We start from the raw sequence: 17,114 nt of genomic DNA on the forward strand, positions 1-17,114 counted from the left end.
CATTACTTTAAGATCTGTCCTTCGGAGCCAGTATAGGCCCATAGCCTTGAAATGCAGCCTTTTTTAGCAAAAAAAAAAAAAATGGAACATCTGAACATTGTTTTTCTTTTGGAGAGAAGTTTGACATTGTCTGTTGTACTTAGAGATGTATAACATCTACAAGTCAGCAGTCTTACTTTTAACATGCACTAAGGGAAACTGGCCAGGAGGGCGTATAGACAAAGATGCTGCTCATAGCACTGCTTGTAGTAGAGAAAAGGTAAACTCAGCTATCTTTTCTGCAGTAAGGGAATGGATAAGTAAACTGTATTTTATTTATTTAATGTAATTCTAGACACCAGTTAAACTAACATAGCTTCAACTCTGCTATATTGAATGAAATCTCATGTTGCAAAAAATAGTAGCATTTTTGAAAATTTTTAAGCATCCTAGATATATATAATAAAAGTACAAAACCATGTTTGGGAATGATAGATAATAACCTTTGAATAGGAAGTAGGAAGGTGGCAAAATTTTATATCAGTAATATTTTATTTCTTTAATAAAAAGTGATCTGAAACAAAACATAAAATGTTAACATTTGATATTAGTGGATACACAGAATATTGTTTTATTTTGTACTTTTCAATGTGTTTTAAAGGTTTTATTACTTAAAACTTCAAAAACCCTAAACACCAACAAAAAATTATTCTGTTTAAAATGAAAACATATTTCAACCATTGTTGTGATACTGTGATACTTCTTTTTTTTTTTTTTTTTTTTTTAGCTATTCTTTTTTTTTTATTATACTTTAAGTTTTAGGGTACATGTGCACATTGTGCAGGTTAGTTACATATGTATACATGTGCCATGCTGGTGCGCTGCACCCACTAAATCGTCATCTAGCATTAGGTATATCTCCCAATGCTATCCCTCCCCCCTCCCCCCACCCCACCACAGTCCCCAGAGTGTGATATTCCCCTTCCTGTGACCATGTGATCTCATTGTTCAATTCCCACCTATGAGTGAGAATATGCGGTGTTTGGTTTTTTGTTCTTGCGATAGTTTACTGAGAATGATGGTTTCCAATTTCATCCATGTCCCTACAAAGGACATGAACTCATCATTTTTTATGGCTGCATAGTATTCCATGGTGTATATGTGCCACATTTTCTTAATCCAGTCTATCATTGTTGGACATTTGGGTTGGTTCCAAGTCTTTGCTATTGTGAATAATGCCGCAATAAACATACGTGTGCATGTGTCTTTATAGCAGCATGATTTATAGTCCTTTGGGTATATACCCAGTAATGGGATGGCTGGGTCAAATGGTATTTCTAGTTCTAGATCCCTGAGGAATCGCCACACTGACTTCCACAATGGTTGAACTAGTTGACAGTCCCACCAACAGTGTAAAAGTGTTCCTATTTCTCCACATCCTCTCCAGCACCTGTTGTGTCCTGACTTTTTAATGATTGCCATTCTAACTGGTGTGAGATGGTATCTCATAGTGGTTTTGATTTGCATTTCTCTGATGGCCAGTGATGATGAGCATTTTTTCATGTATTTTTTGGCTGCATAAATGTCTTCTTTTGAGAAGTGTCTGTTCATGTCCTTCGCCCACTTTTTGATGGGGTTGTTTGTTTTTTTCTTGTAAATTTGTTTGAGTTCATTGTAGATTCTGGATATTAGCCCTTTGTCAGATGAGTAGGTTGCGAAAATTTTCTCCCATGTTGTAGGTTGCCTGTTCACTCTGATGGTAGTTTCTTTTGCTGTGCAGAAGCTCTTTAGTTTAATTAGGTCCCATTTGTCAATTTTGGCTTTTGTTGCCATTGCTTTTGGTGTTTTGGACATGAAGTCCTTGCCCACGCCTATGTCCTGAATGGTAATGCCTAGGTTTTCTTCTAGGGTTTTTATGGTTTTAGGTCTAACGTTTAAATCTTTAATCCATCTTGAATTGATTTTTCTATAAGGTGTAAGGAAGGGATCCAGTTTCAGCTTTCTACATATGGCTAGCCAGTTTTCCCAGCACCATTTATTAAATAGGGAATCCTTTCCCCATTGCTTGTTTTTCTCAGGTTTGTCAAAGATCAGATAGTTGTAGGTATGCAGCGTTATTTCTGAGGGCTCTGTTCTGTTCCATTGATCTATATCTCTGTTTTGGTACCAGTACCATGCTGTTTTGGTTACTGTAGCCTTGTAGTATAGTTTGAAGTCAGGTAGTGTGATGCCTCCAGCTTTGTTCTTTTGGCTTAGGATTGACTTGGCGATGCGGGCTCTTTTTTGGTTCCATATGAATTTAAAGTAGTTTTTTCCAATTCTGTGACGAAAGTCATTGGTAGCTTGATGGGGATGGCATTGAATCTGTAAATTACCTTGGGCAGTATGGCCATTTTCACGATATTGATTCTTCCTACCCATGAGCATGGAATGTTCTTCCATTTGTTTGTATCCTCTTTTATTTCCTTGAGTAGCGGTTTGCAGTTCTCCTTGAAGAGGTCCTTCACATCCCTTGTAAGTTGGATTCCTAGGTATTTTATTCTCTTTGAAGCAATTGTGAATGGGAGTTCACTCATGATTTGGCTCTCTGTTTGTCTGTTGTTGGTGTATAAGAATGCTTGTGATTTTTGTACATTGATTTTGTATCCTGAGACTTTGCTGAAGTTGCTTATCAGCTTAAGGAGATTTTGGGCTGAGACGATGGGGTTTTCTAGATAAACAATCATGTCGTCTGCAAACAGGGACAATTTGACTTCCTCTTTTCCTAATTGAATACCCTTTATTTCCTTCTCCTGCCTGATTGCCCTGACCAGAACTTCCAACACTATGTTGAATAGGAGCGGTGAGAGAGGGCATCCCTGTCTTGTGCCAGTTTTCAAAGGGAATGCTTCCAGTTTTTGCCCATTCAGTATGATATTGGCTGTGGGTTTGTCATAGATAGCTCTTATTATTTTGAAATACGTCCCATCAATACCTAATTTATTGAGAGTTTTTAGCATGAAGGGTTGTTGAATTTTGTCAAAGGCTTTTTCTGCATCTATTGAGATAATCATGTGGTTTTTGTCTTTGGCTCTGTTTATATGCTGGATTACATTTATTGATTTGCGTATATTGAACCAGCCTTGCATCCCAGGGATGAAGCCCACTTGATCATGGTGGATAAGCTTTTTGATGTGCTGCTGGATTTGGTTTGCCAGTATTTTATTGAGGATTTTTGCATCAATGTTCATCAAGGATATTGGTCTAAAATTCTCTTTTTTGGTTGTGTCTCTGCCCGGCTTTGGTATCAGAATGATGCTGGCCTCATAAAATGAGTTAGGGAGGATTCCCTCTTTTTCTATTGATTGGAATAGTTTCAGAAGGAATGGTACCAGTTCCTCCTTGTACCTCTGGTAGAATTCGGCTGTGAATCCATCTGGTCCTGGACTCTTTTTGGTTGGTAAACTATTGATTATTGCCACAATTTCAGCTCCTGTTATTGGTCTATTCAGAGATTCAACTTCTTCCTGGTTTAGTCTTGGGAGAGTGTATGTGTCAAGGAATGTATCCATTTCTTCTAGATTTTCTAGTTTATTTGCATAGAGGTGTTTGTAGTATTCTCTGATGGTAGTTTGTATTTCTGTGGGATTGGTGGTGATATCCCCTTTATCATTTTTTATTGTGTCTATTTGATTCTCCTCTCTTTTTTTCTTTATTAGTCTTGCTAGCGGTCTATCAATTTTGTTGATCCTTTCAAAAAACCAGCTCCTGGATTCATTGATTTTTTGAAGGGTTTTTTGTGTCTCTATTTCCTTCAGTTCTGCTCTGATTTTAGTTATTTCTTGCCTTCTGCTAGCTTTTGAATGTGTTTGCTCTTGCTTTTCTAGTTCTTTTAACTGTGATGTTAGGGTGTCAATTTTGGATCTTTCCTGCTTTCTCTTGTGGGCATTTAGTGCTATAAATTTCCCTCTACACACTGCTTTGAATGCGTCCCAGAGATTCTGGTATGTTGTGTCTTTGTTCTCGTTGGTTTCAAAGAACATCTTTATTTCTGCCTTCATTTCGTTATGTACCCAGTAGTCATTCAGGAGCAGGTTGTTCAGTTTCCATGTAGTTGAGTGGCTTTGAGTGAGATTCTTAATCCTGAGTTCTAGTTTGATTGCACTGTGGTCTGAGAGATAGTTTGTTATAATTTGTGTTCTTTTACATTTGCTGAGGAGAGCTTTACTTCCAACTATGTGGTCAATTTTGGAATAGGTGTGGTGTGGTGCTGAAAAAAACGTATATTCTGTTGATTTGGGGTGGAGAGTTCTGTAGATGTCTATTAGGTCCACTTGGTGCAGAGATGAGTTCAATTCCTGGGTATCCTTGTTGACTTTCTGTCTCGTTGATCTGTCTAATGTTGACAGTGGGGTGTTAAAGTCTCCCATTATTAATGTGTGGGAGTCTAAGTCTCTTTGTAGGTCACTCAGGACTTGCTTTATGAATCTGGGTGCTCCTGTATTGGGTGCATATATATTTAGGATAGTTAGCTCCTCTTGTTGAATTGATCCCTTTACCATTATGTAATGGCCTTCTTTGTCTCTTTTGATCTTTGTTGGTTTAAAGTCTGTTTTATCAGAGACTAGGATTGCAACCCCTGCCTTTTTTTGTTTTCCATTTGCTTGGTAGATCTTCCTCCATCCTTTTATTTTGAGCCTATGTGTGTCTCTGCACGTGAGATGGGTTTCCTGAATACAGCACACTGATGGGTCTTGACTCTTAGATCCAACTTGCCAGTGTGTGTCTTTTAATTGGAGAATTTAGTCCATTTACATTTAAAGTTAATATTGTTATGTGTGAATTTCATCCTGTCATTATGATGTTAGCTGGTTATTTTGCTCGTTAGTTGATGCAGTTTCTTCCTAGTCTCGATGGTCTTTACATTTTGGCATGATTTTGCAGCGGCTGGTACCGGTTGTTCCTTTCCATGTTTAGTGCTTCCTTCAGGAGCTCTTTTAGGGCAGGCCTGGTGGTGACAAAATCTCTCAGCATTTGCTTGTCTGTAAAGTATTTTATTTCTCCTTCACTTATGAAGCTTAGTTTGGCTGGATATGAAATTCTGGGTTGAAAATTCTTTTCTTTAAGAATGTTGAATATTGGCTCCCACTCTCTTCTGGCTTGTAGGGTTTCTGCCGAGAGATCCGCTGTTAGTCTGATGGGCTTCCCTTTGAGGGTAACCCGACCTTTCTCTCTGGCTGCCCTTAACATTTTTTCCTTCATTTCAACTTTGGTGAATCTGACAATTATGTGTCTTGGAGTTGCTCTTCTCGAGGAGTATCTTTGTGGCGTTCTCTGTATTTCCTGAATCTGAACGTTGGCCTGCCTTGCTAGACTGGGGAAGTTCTCCTGGATAATATCCTGCAGAGTGTTTTCCAACTTGGTTCCATTCTCCGCATCACTTTCAGGTACACCAATCAGACGTAGATTTGGTCTTTTCACATAGTCCCATATTTCTTGGAGGCTTTGCTCATTTCTTTTTATTCTTTTTTCTCTAAACTTCCCTTCTCGCTTCATTTCATTCATTTCATCTTCCATTGCTGATACCCTTTCTTCCAGTAGATCGCATCGGCTCCTGAGGCTTCTGCATTCTTCACGTAGTTCTCGAGCCTTGGTTTTCAGCTCCATCAGCTCCTTTAAGGACTTCTCTGTATTGGTTATTCTAGTTATACATTCTTCTAAATTTTTTTCAAAGTTTTCAACTTCTTTGCCTTTGGTTTGAATGTCCTCCCGTAGCTCAGAGTAATTTGATCGTCTGAAACCTTCTTCTCTCAGCTCGTCAAAGTCATTCTCCATCCAGCTTTGTTCCGTTGCTGGTGAGGAACTGCGTTCCTTTGGAGGAGGAGAGGCGCTCTGCGTTTTAGAGTTTCCAGTTTTTCTGTTCTGTTTTTTCCCCATCTTTGTGGTTTTATCTACTTTTGGTCTTTGATGATGGTGATGTACAGATGGGTTTTCGGTGTGGATGTCCTTTCTGTTTGTTAGTTTTCCTTCTAACAGACAGGACCCTCAGCTGCAGGTCTGTTGGAGTACCCTGCCGTGTGAGGTGTCAGTGTGCCCCTGCTGGGGGGTGCCTCCCAGTTAGGCTGCTCGGGGGTCAGGGGTCAGGGACCCACTTGAGGAGGCAGTCTGCCCGTTCTCAGATCTCCAGCTGCGTGCTGGGAGAACCACTGCTCTCTTCAAAGCTGTCAGACAGGGACATTTAAGTCTGCAGAGGTTACTGCTGTCTTTTTGTTTGTCTGTGCCCTGCCCCCAGAGGTGGAGCCTACAGAGGCAGGCAGGCCTCCTAGAGCTGTGGTGGGCTCCACCCAGTTCGAGCTTCCCGGCTGCTTTGTTTACCTAATCAAGCCTGGGCAATGGCGGGCGCCCCTCCCCCAGCCTCGCTGCCGCCTTGCAGTTTGATCTCAGACTGCTGTGCTGGCAATCAGCGAGACTCCGTGGGCGTAGGACCCTCCGAGCCAGGTGTGGGATATAGTCTCGTGGTGCGCCGTTTTTTAAGCCGGTCTGAAAAGCGCAGTATTCGGGTGGGAGTGACCCGATTTTCCAGGTGCGCCCGTCACCCCTTTCTTTGACTCGGAAAGGGAACTCCCTGACCCCTTGCGCTTCCCAGGTGAGGCAATGCCTCGCCCTGCTTCGGCTTGCGCACACCCACTGGCCTGCGCCCACTGTCTGGCACTCCCTAGTGAGATGAACCCGGTACCTCAGATGGAAATGCAGAAATCACCCGTCTTCTGCGTCGCTCACGCTGGGAGCTGTAGACCGGAGCTGTTCCTATTCGGCCATCTTCCATTGTGACACTTCTAACCTTATTTTTGTACAGTTCATCATTCAGGGAGAATAAAATATGACATGTTATCATTATTAAGTGCCTTACCAATACCCACATTTCTTTATTTTGGAAGGTATCAACAGTAAATTTCTACCCCTCTTTTTCCAACCTCTCTATTCAATAACACTTTTATTTTTTATGGATTTAGGGGTACAAGTACAGTCATGCAATATGGATATATGGCGTAGTGGTGAAGTCTGAACTTTCAGCATTCAACAAGCTTTTTACTTAAAAATTTAACTTAAAAAAATTCTCAAAATATTTATCCTGAAAGACTTGGTGAAATTATTCTGAAACCAGATACCTTGAATGACTAGCCCAGGGTCCAGTATGTATTCTTTTACTTTATTTTTTAAATGTACTAGCCAAACCAAGAACTAAGCAAAGCATTTGGACATACTGCATTACCTAACATTCAACATTACCTAACACCACTAGGGAGTGCTCCTTCTAGGCTGTCAATTGTGGCCTATGTTTAGAGTGTTATTTTCCCTTACCTGAGATCTGTGTTCTTACTGTAAGTGTATATCCTAGTCATTTTATTATACAAGATAATCCTGAATGTTTGCCATAACATGTAAATAAGAATTCCAGCTTTCAAATATGATGGAAGTTTAAATGATTAGTTTTTTAAATTTTAAATTTAATAATTTAAATTAAATTATTTAGTTGCTATGTAGATAATCTATTTCCCAGCGAGATGGGGCAGTAGTTTACTTACCTTTACAATTTAAGCGGAGTTCAAACCAGCATTTGGAATACAAGAAAGACATGGTGAGACTATGTCCATCTTAAACCAAGAAATAAAGTAGAATGATTTTGTGTAGACTTTGGCATTGTTACACTTTCCTTCATTTATTCTGTAAGACTATTTTTTTTTTTGCTTCTCTTAAACGAGTACTGTTTTTGAAATTTGGCCTATTTGTTAGGAAGATACTATTCTCCCTTATATAGGATTGTATGATTTTTTGAAGAAAAACAGATTGTTTCCAAGGGCATTTTTTGATTTTTGTTATGATAAAATGTGAAAACTATTAATGTGATATCTATGAAAAGTATTCTGGAGGAAAAATATATTCAAATTTATATAATTTTTAGGATAAGTTTGAATTCGTTCCATTACATCACCAGTACATAGATGCCTGTAGGGCAGTGTAAATTAAAGATTGTTGTATCCCAGCAATTTCAGCTTGACTGACAAGGTACTTTTTAAACTCTGGAAAGCACTGACCAATTGAAAGCCTTTAACTACTTCACCTAAAAACAAGGCCATGTACCCAGAATCGTTGCTGCCTAGGAATACTGAATTTTGGGGTAGGCCACTATAATATTAGTTACTCAGACCTTTGCTCTGATTTCACTAAATAGTAAAGTAAAGGGAGCTATTGCTTTATTATTTTGTCACCCTCTAGTGTGACCGGTGAGGCAGGAGTACAGTAGCTGGAGGTCCTGAAGGGGCCCACCATGCCATTCTGGTTGTTATTCCCTTTATTGTAATACACCTCCATAGAGTTCATTGAGAGGTAGAAAAGAGAAACCTGTTAGTGGGAGCATTGGTTGTAATCTATGTTTTTGATTATCAATGACATGATCCTAAAATTATACCCAAATATCTCTCACAGGTTCTGAAATTGAGTTTCTGAAAAAGCACTGTAGTAGTAATAAAAGGTAAAGTGCAGAGTTCCAAAGAAATGAGCTGTGAATTGAACCTGCAATGGAAATTGATCCTATCAGTCAGTTTTTGCCCTTGTTCATAGAAAAATAGGACTGAATGTAGAAGGAGCCAGGATCACTGATTAAATAGGATGCTGAAGTGCTGGAGGCTAGAAGTGGGCTTGCTCGTCCCTTAGGTCAGACTTCTCTGCTGGAAACCTGGCTCAAGCTGGCAGAAAAAGAACAGAATGAAAAATGCTGCAGGCATCAGTGGGAGAGTCGGTAAGAGCTCACTGACTGAGCTTCCTGCGTGACAGCCAGTGCACTTCTCCATAGGGAGGCCATTCTCATCTCTTATCATGAGTCAGTGGGCCCACAGTGGACCCACTGGCCTCATGATTCATGCCAACGGGGCCTGTCATGATACCCTTTCAGGGAAGCAGGGAGGCATCAGTGTGGCCAGAGGGTGTGAGTGTGAAGAAAAATGGCTTTGCTATCAATTCCATTCTCAGTAGCATCCTCAGGATTGTGAGGAAAGAGGACAAATTTCCTACAACTAGTGGTCCTATGAATACCATTTATTACCCTTTTATCTAACTGTAAGAGATCTATATTGTGCACATAGAATGCTTGTAATGCTGTGCCATGTTTTGGGGGGACAGTGTTTGTATTCTACTCCCAGAAATGCAGTGTGAGTTGCAATTAGCCTACCAAAATTACACATTTCTGGTTATGAAGTTGCCATTTGTTTCCTACAGTGTAATATATTTCTACAGTGATGCCCTTCAGAGTGTTCAGTGATCATCAGTATAACTCACTAGAGTAAATGTCCCTGTGGAATGCCTCATTCACAGTTAGTAGCACACTAATGGAAATCGCTCTGTAGAAACATTGAAAACAAAGGTATTATAAAACACTAACTTGAGATGTAATTATTATAAATCCATTTCTGGATCAGAATTTAATTTTGCAAAATGGCAGAAAAAAAAGTAAAAACAAAGAAGCATTGAAATCAGGCAATTTGCTTAGTATGAGAATTGTAAAAGAATTGTATGAGAATTAGTAAAAGAATTGTCAGATTTCCTTAGTCATTGGTCATAGCCTATCAACACTATCATTAAAGAAGGCTGCTGTCATAGGTACATGGTAGCACATGGCATTTCCTTTATGTTATTGTATGTATCTGCTTTTCCAGCCATTTCCCCATCCCTCTTAACTTTGCGTTTGGACCCTGGTAAGAGAAAATGACAGTACTCCATCTGAAGTGGACCATGTCCCTGTGTCATGGTATTGATTTAACTTATCCTGTAAGCTTTTGACAAATGAGAATCAGAGTCAAAGAGGCCTTCATCCCTATCCTATGTTGACGTGACCCTTCCTACCCCCATTGATATTGACCCTGCCACGTTGATAGCAACACATTAGTAGGCACAGCAGAACTACAGACCATAGTCAAAGGCTCACAGAGGGCACAAAGGAAAATACTCTGCAAAAGCTTCCGTAAGATAGTTTTGCTTTGGTTAACTGTAGTTATGCTTCAACGTAAAGATGCAAAAAAGTGAGTGTCACCCTCTTTTCATCTAAGATTTAGACCTCATACAGCCTCTGTCTCCTGTCTGATTACCACTCATGACAATAGGCAATTTAGAGCCTTTGTCATAGAAATGATTGTTTTGTGTTAGGCTTAGCTGTAGTACTTGGCAAATGTATGGGAAATGTGAGACATAATTTTACCATGATGGAATTCTAAAAGGTGCTCACAGAGAAAGGGAGCATGCAAAAATACTTGACCGGTACACAGACAGAAGCCTTTGTTTTCAGTCCTGAATTTTAATTTAAGTATATATTTTCTTGGATAAGGAATACTGAATGATGCAGACTTATTTATGCAGTGAAAAATAGTTTTCCATTGAAATTAAGTTAGAACTGTACTTCTTGTTTAAACTAATATCTGAAGCCTTTAGTCATTTTATTAGTCAGTAAAATTGATGAAAACCTTAGGAAAATGCGTTAGAACAGTCCTGTGATGAATAGGAGGCCTGGGATTAATAAGGAAAAGGGCAAAGGGACACATGTTGATCTGTGTATGTATAGAGATCTGGAGCTTATTAGAAGTTTTTATGAACATTCAACTAATGAAGCATTATATAAAATTAGACATTTCCGTTAAGTTGTAAAAGTTACTAGTCTAGGGAAAAAAACCTTCAATGTTATTTCTAAATAATTTATTTATGACATTTTCCCAACAGTAGTAATTTAAATATGAAAAATTAATTTTGTAATAGGGAACATTCCATGAGAATGCCACTCACGATTTCTTGGAGGAGTTTTCATCTTTGGTTCTTAGATTTATTACAGGACAGAGTAGCATGAATGATCTTTATTAATCCCATTTTATGATTGCAGCAGATATCTGGTAAATGCTACGTTGCATATTTAACATTATTCCATTTTAAACATTTTCATTTGTCAGAGGTTGCAGGTAAAAAGGGGGGATTTTAAGTTCTCTCTGTGGCATAATTGATGGAGAAAACAGACACAAAGAATTTATGCACAAATAGGAATCAAGAAGGGAACTTCAACAATAGTCTAGACAAGTTTGCAGCACCCTGAAATGCAGGCCAGGCTCTCTGGTACAGCTGAACTGGGGAATGTGGCCTTGACCCTCTCGTCTATAGAATTAGCAGGAAAAGGGGGAAGAATTCCTCTCAGCACTTTTGTCTCAAGTTTAAATTCATTGGATCTTTATTATATTGTACATTCTTTGGTCATGTTTTAGGTGAAGTCTTAGTATCTTTAATATCCTGATTTCTTCTTATTTGATTCTCTTTAGTTTGGTAGAGAAAACAGTGGAGTGGGGACAGCATGATTTGTAGTTGTCAGGTCTAAATTTGAATGCCACAGCAAACCCTGACCCTGATCAAGTTATTGAGCCTACCTTGGTCACAATTTTTATGTCTATATATTAGAAATAAAAATATTTACAGGATTATTTTGAGGAATAGGAAATTTATAGAAAGCAACTCACACATAGTAAGTGTGCAATAAACTGTAGCTTTTATATCTCAAGTTTATTGTCCCTTCTCAATTGTAGATCTCTTTACATTCATATTTGGTGAGCACACTTCAGACAAACAAAAATCAAAATTATGAATCAAATGACCTATGGGTGTATAACACAAAACATTTTAGGTTAGGCTTTTCCTAAAACCCTGAATGCTGAATTTTTTGTAGTAGTGCATGGTACATTATAAGTGCTTGGTAAATGTTATTTATGTAGTAGTATTTATTTTCATCATTATTTCATAAACAAATTTAAGCTTTCTCTGCATATATTTTGTTTTAAATTATGCAAAAATGCTTATATTCTCTCCATGTCATTTAGATTTCTAAGCTTGAAACTGTACCTGGAGCTTGGGCTAAAATAAGATTACTAAAAAATTGTCATGAACAGGCAAGAATTACTTTAGCATTGATTGTGTGGAATTCTATTCAGATTGAAATCCAAAAATACCTGCTCTGCTCAGAAGTTTATGTTCTCTTACTATATTATTTCATGTATAATTCTCAAGCTTTTACTCTTGTTTTCCAATTACATGATTATAAATTAATGTTTAAAGATAAAACACATGTATCAGTATTAAGATTGGTTTATTTTGGCCGGGTGTGGTGGCACACGCCTGTAGTCCCAGCACTTTGGGAGGCCAAGGCAGGCGGATCACGAGGTCAGGAGATCAAGACCATCCTGACTAACATGGTGAAACCCTGTCTCGACTAGAAATACACACACACACAAAAAAATTAGCCAGAGGTGGTGACAGGTGCCTGTAGTCCCAGCTACTTGGGAGGCTGAGGCAGGAGAATGGCATGAACCCAGGAGGTGGAGCTTGCAGTGAGCCAAGATCACACCACTGCACTCCAGCCTGGGTGACAGTGTGAGACTCCGTCTCAAAAAAAAAAAAAAAAAAAAAAAAAGCAGATTGGTTTATTTTATCAGAGACCCAGAGAAAAAGAGGCTTAAGTAAGATAGCATTTAATTTTTCCTAATGACAAGTTTGGAAGTAGGAAGGTCAGGGCTGGTATGGTAGTTCAGTGATATCAGAGACCCTGGCTCCTCCTTCATCATTGCTTTGAATTCTTAACATTTAAGTGTCTCATGGTTCACCATGGCTGCCTGAGCTCCAAACATCATATCCTCCATCCAGCTAATAGGAAATAAGAAGGACCAAAGATGGTGAGCCCCTGCCTTTTAAGAACACCTCTCAGAAACTATTTTGGACATTTCATCTTATATGCCATTCATCAGAACTTAGGCACATGGCCACATCCATCTGCAGAAAATAATGGAAACTTTCATCTTTATTCTGGGTAGCCAAATGCCTAGCCAAGATTTAGGGATTTATTATCCAGGAAGAAGAGGAGACCAGGTGGTGGGGACAACTGGGAATATCTGTGACCTTTGGGATTGACCTGAGCCTTTATCTTTCTTCTCTCTCATGTTTTCTTTTGTCTTCTTTTCTAAATAGATCCCATGCGAGGCCCAAGAAAACTAGAAGTAGTGGAGGTCAAATCTCGGCAAATCACTATCCGCTGGGAGCCATTTGGATATAATGTAACTCGTTGCCACAGTTATAATCTCACTGTCCACTACTGTTACCAAGTTGGAGGACAAGAACAAGTGCGAGAAGAAGTAAGCTGGGATACAGAAAACTCACACCCTCAACACACGATCACTAACCTGTCACCATACACCAATGTCAGTGTGAAACTGATCCTCATGAACCCAGAGGGCCGGAAGGAAAGCCAAGAACTCATAGTGCAGACAGATGAAGACCGTGAGTACCTTTGAATGATATGTTTGTGTAAAACATGTTCTTTCAAAAAACAACTTTTGTTTCGAGATCTTTGCTGTGCAGATGGAAGAAAGAACTACTTATTTTGTTGAACAACACAAATGTGTATCTGTACTCTGTATTCTTAAGCGCTGATTGAAAGAGGGAAAAGGGAGTAGAGATATAGAAATGTCATTCTTTATTACTCATACAGTTACTTTTCTATATATAATCATTCCATATTGCTCTCAATAGTTCTTCAAGTTTTATTTCATTGGGCTGAAAAATTGTTGTTTTGGGTATTAGATTATTTATATAAAATCATTGGACTGAAAAATTGTTGTTTTGGGTATTAGATTATTTATATAAAATGTTTACCTAAATATATTTAAATGGCATTCTGAAACATTTTTCATAGTTCAGATAAAATTTCAGCACTAAATAGGGGCTGCCCTTGCTTTTCAACACAGTCTTGAGAAACTGTAAGTTGGTGGTCATGAAACAGGTCATTTTTCTCCACAGGAACAATGTTGAAACCGGATGTTACTTTAATAAACAACTACTTTACAAATAAACCATGCATGTCACCAGTAACGCATCAAAAAAGCAAATATACAGGAAACCTCCATAGTAATTTAAAACAGTAAAATTATGCCTTGAATCTCAATGCGTGGATATAAATGTTTCTTTACACAGATGACACAGGGAACCCTTGTGTGTAATGACATATTCATATAGTACATAAAATACAATGGTAGTATATCATAAATTTGACCTAAAAATCATTTTTCCGGCATCAAAATGAATGACAAAGAATGTAGGAAGACCATTAAACGAATGAACTGACTATTCCTAAGAAAAATAGTTGTTTAGCTTTTTGTTTCTTCATGTAACTGATAATGTAATTTTGACCATTGATTAAATTGTGAGTTGAATGTTTAGACTACTTTATCGTTTCATTTAAAGAGCTAAAAAAGTATTTTTGAGTGTTTCTACCTACCCAGCACCTGCGTATTTTTGTAGAAGAAAAACATAGAAATAGCTGGAGTAGATGAGGAACTCACTGCACATCCTTTCTTTCCTCTTTTATTGTCCCTCAAGTCCTGCTTGTGTTGGTTCCTCTCAAGCAGTTGTTTGAGAGGGAGTCTAAGTTTGATGGAAGCCACTCAGGCAAGGCTGAGACCAGAAGCTCTATTTCTGTTTCTTCCAACTCTCTCTCATCTCCCAGAAGAGGAGAAGATGGTGTCCACATTGTCATCAAGTTATGGCTGGCTCCTTCCTGCCTTACATTTCTCTATTGACTCTGGTCCTAACATCTGTTGTTTCTACTTCCAAAGTTTTAGATTGTTCTTTTCTGTCAATTTCCATTGGCTGTATTCAAATCCTTATTATTTTATGCTGAAATTTCTATAATTGTTTCTACCTTTTCTTTGTGGTTCCAGCCTTTTTCTATTCTAATGTCCCCCTACTCACTCACTCACTAATCTTAAAAATGTATTTTCATCTTGGCTGTCTCTCTACAAAAGTCTTGAGTGGCTCTTCACTTAATCTTCATTCCAGTGCCTTGGCTGTCAAGGTCTTCTGTATTCTTGGCTCATATTCTAGGAGTAATAACTTCTCCTTCACAGCATCTTGTTCTGCAAAGCCATCCCTGAGTGCTGGTCCCTGTGCCTGCTCTGTGCATCCTGGGCTTCCCATCGTTGCCTGATTGTTCTCCTTGGCCAGTCGGGGCCTCTCCTGGCCGCTTCTCAAGCTCGCCTACTCTGCTACCAGCTGAAGCTCTCCTCACATTTCAGGTCCTTCACATAGCTGTCTCCAGCTCTTCAGTCTGTGTTATTCACATCCCTCTGACCTTAATTGTACTTCATAAGATCCTTAACTCTCTGACCCTCAATTTCCTGATCTGAGAAGTGAGAATAATAACAATTCTTAGATACATTAGGGATAGAAGAAATTTATGTGGAGAGCTGGTTGTAGGCTGTCAGAAAGGGGCCTTTCTTAGTATTGTAATGATTCATAGCCACTCATGATTCTTCTTTGCTCCCTCATTATGTTATTTGTATGTATTTTTTTCTTTTTATTGTAAACTACTTGACAAGAAGTACTGTCTGTTTTTCTTCTATAGCAATAGGCGTGATATTGAGTAAGTAATAAACACCCCAAAATACCTTAGGTCTTTAAATGAAATAATAAAGTATTGTTGATAAGCATTTAGTTCATGTTTTAATAAACAATAATGGTTACATCAATGAGAGAAATAAAATGCAGTCACTTCCAGATATATATTGCTAAAGCATGAACCTATTGAACACTATGGGTTTCAAATTGAGAACTGTCATGAGCTAGGAATTCTGTTAAATTCCATCAAAACATGAGGACAGAATTACTTTGTTTGTTTAAATTATCTTGCTAGTCCCTGAAGCTGGAGCATGCATTACTTCCAAATAAAAATCTATTGTTTTCCTAGCACACTAGCGTTTCATTAATTAGAAAAAACTTTAATTTCAAATTATATTTTGTAACCCCTCCAAAAAAAATACTTCAGAAAAGGCAGAGAGAAGAAAGAAATAGAATAATTGTCAAACAGTATCCAGTTTGAAGAGAAAAGAATTGGGGAGTCACTTTGTTTATCCATCAACAAAAGTTATAATTCATTGAACATTGTGAGTTTTATTATAGTATAATACTTTTATTGAAATACAGTTTTTTTCATCAGAAATTGTGTGGGAAAAAATTTACCTTTCATTAATGTTAGTAGAATCCTATACAGCCCAGGGATAAGTTGTACAAACTTAGGTATTATGGCTTTATATCCCAGATCCTGAATTCCCAGAGCTTCTAAAAATAGGTACTAGACCTAAGTTACTATGAGGTACTATCTTCCGTAACTTAATTAGTAGTATATTAATTATTTATTCATATTGTTTTAATTTACATTGTCTTTCTCTGACCTTAAAGTGATTATCTGAATCCCCATTAGGGTTTCCTGTCAACTATTCTACTGCCATTTACCACAGGGTCACCACCAGTACATTCTAATAAGTCCATCCTTCTGAGATATCCTCTTCCTAACATGATTTTGAATACCTCCTGTGTCATATTACTGTTAGTATTTTCTTTTATACGAATTGAATGAAACAAATATTTGTTTTGTCTAACTCTTCACCTTCTTTACATCTGCACATGGATTAACACATATTTTCAAATAAGAAATATCACTGGCTGCTCCGCCTATGGAGTAGCCATTCTTTTATTCCTTTGCTTTCTTAATAATCTTGCTTTCACTTAAAAAGAAAAAGAAATATTATCACAAAATAGAGTCACTCATCTTAGTTATCTTGATGGTGTGAGAAAACTGATGATGTCATCATCATAAACACTTTCAAGGTTAAGAGGAAGAGACTTAGTCGAGTTTTCTCAGGCATGGCCTGTTTTAGTTCAACTTCTAATTATGATGAACATTTTAGTCTCAGAGCTTGGAATTCCAGTGTTCTTAGAACTCACCAGTGTTGTCATTTCTAATGTTTTTTGTTGCTTCAATGTAGTCGTATATAAATTTCTTCAACATAGGACTAACAATTATTTTCATATTTATGTGCTATTTAGGGTTTCAATGTTAAAATTAACTTGGCTGGGTATAGTAACTCATGCCTATAATCCCAGTACTTTGGGAGGCCAACACAGGAGGGGACCACTTGAGCCCAGGAGATTGAGACCAGCCTGGGAAACATAGTGAGACCCTATCACTACAAAAATTAAAAATAAATTAGCTGGCATGCTGGTGCATACCTATGGTCCCAGCTACT

General features: G+C 38.1%; 1 protein-coding gene across 36 annotated transcripts in view, besides 2 other annotated features; it reads left to right on the top strand.

Moving 5' to 3' along the window:
- Positions 1-17,114, top strand: part of PTPRM (protein tyrosine phosphatase receptor type M) — an 839,541-nt gene that overhangs the window by 489,368 nt on the left and 333,059 nt on the right. For all 36 annotated transcript variants that reach the window (XM_011525708.3, XM_047437715.1, XM_011525712.3 and 33 more), the window contains one exon: positions 13,003-13,311. In XM_011525708.3, coding sequence (XP_011524010.1) covers positions 13,003-13,311 — 309 coding nt within the window. The remainder of the gene's footprint in view (positions 1-13,002; positions 13,312-17,114) is intronic.
- Positions 5,913-6,517: an enhancer, noted in NCBI's record as "NANOG-H3K27ac-H3K4me1 hESC enhancer chr18:8062594-8063198 (GRCh37/hg19 assembly coordinates)". NCBI's record gives its function as "activates a minimal SCP1, AML or CMV promoter by ChIP-STARR-seq in primed H9 embryonic stem cells {active_cell/tissue: H9 hESC(primed)}" and the evidence as "EXISTENCE:reporter gene assay evidence [ECO:0000049][PMID:30033119]".
- Positions 9,803-10,451: an enhancer, noted in NCBI's record as "OCT4-NANOG hESC enhancer chr18:8066484-8067132 (GRCh37/hg19 assembly coordinates)". NCBI's record gives its function as "activates a minimal SCP1, AML or CMV promoter by ChIP-STARR-seq in primed H9 embryonic stem cells {active_cell/tissue: H9 hESC(primed)}" and the evidence as "EXISTENCE:reporter gene assay evidence [ECO:0000049][PMID:30033119]".

The sequence above is a fragment of the Homo sapiens genome, chromosome 18, assembly GCF_000001405.40.
Source record: "Homo sapiens chromosome 18, GRCh38.p14 Primary Assembly".
Classification (NCBI taxonomy): Eukaryota; Metazoa; Chordata; class Mammalia; order Primates; family Hominidae; genus Homo; species Homo sapiens.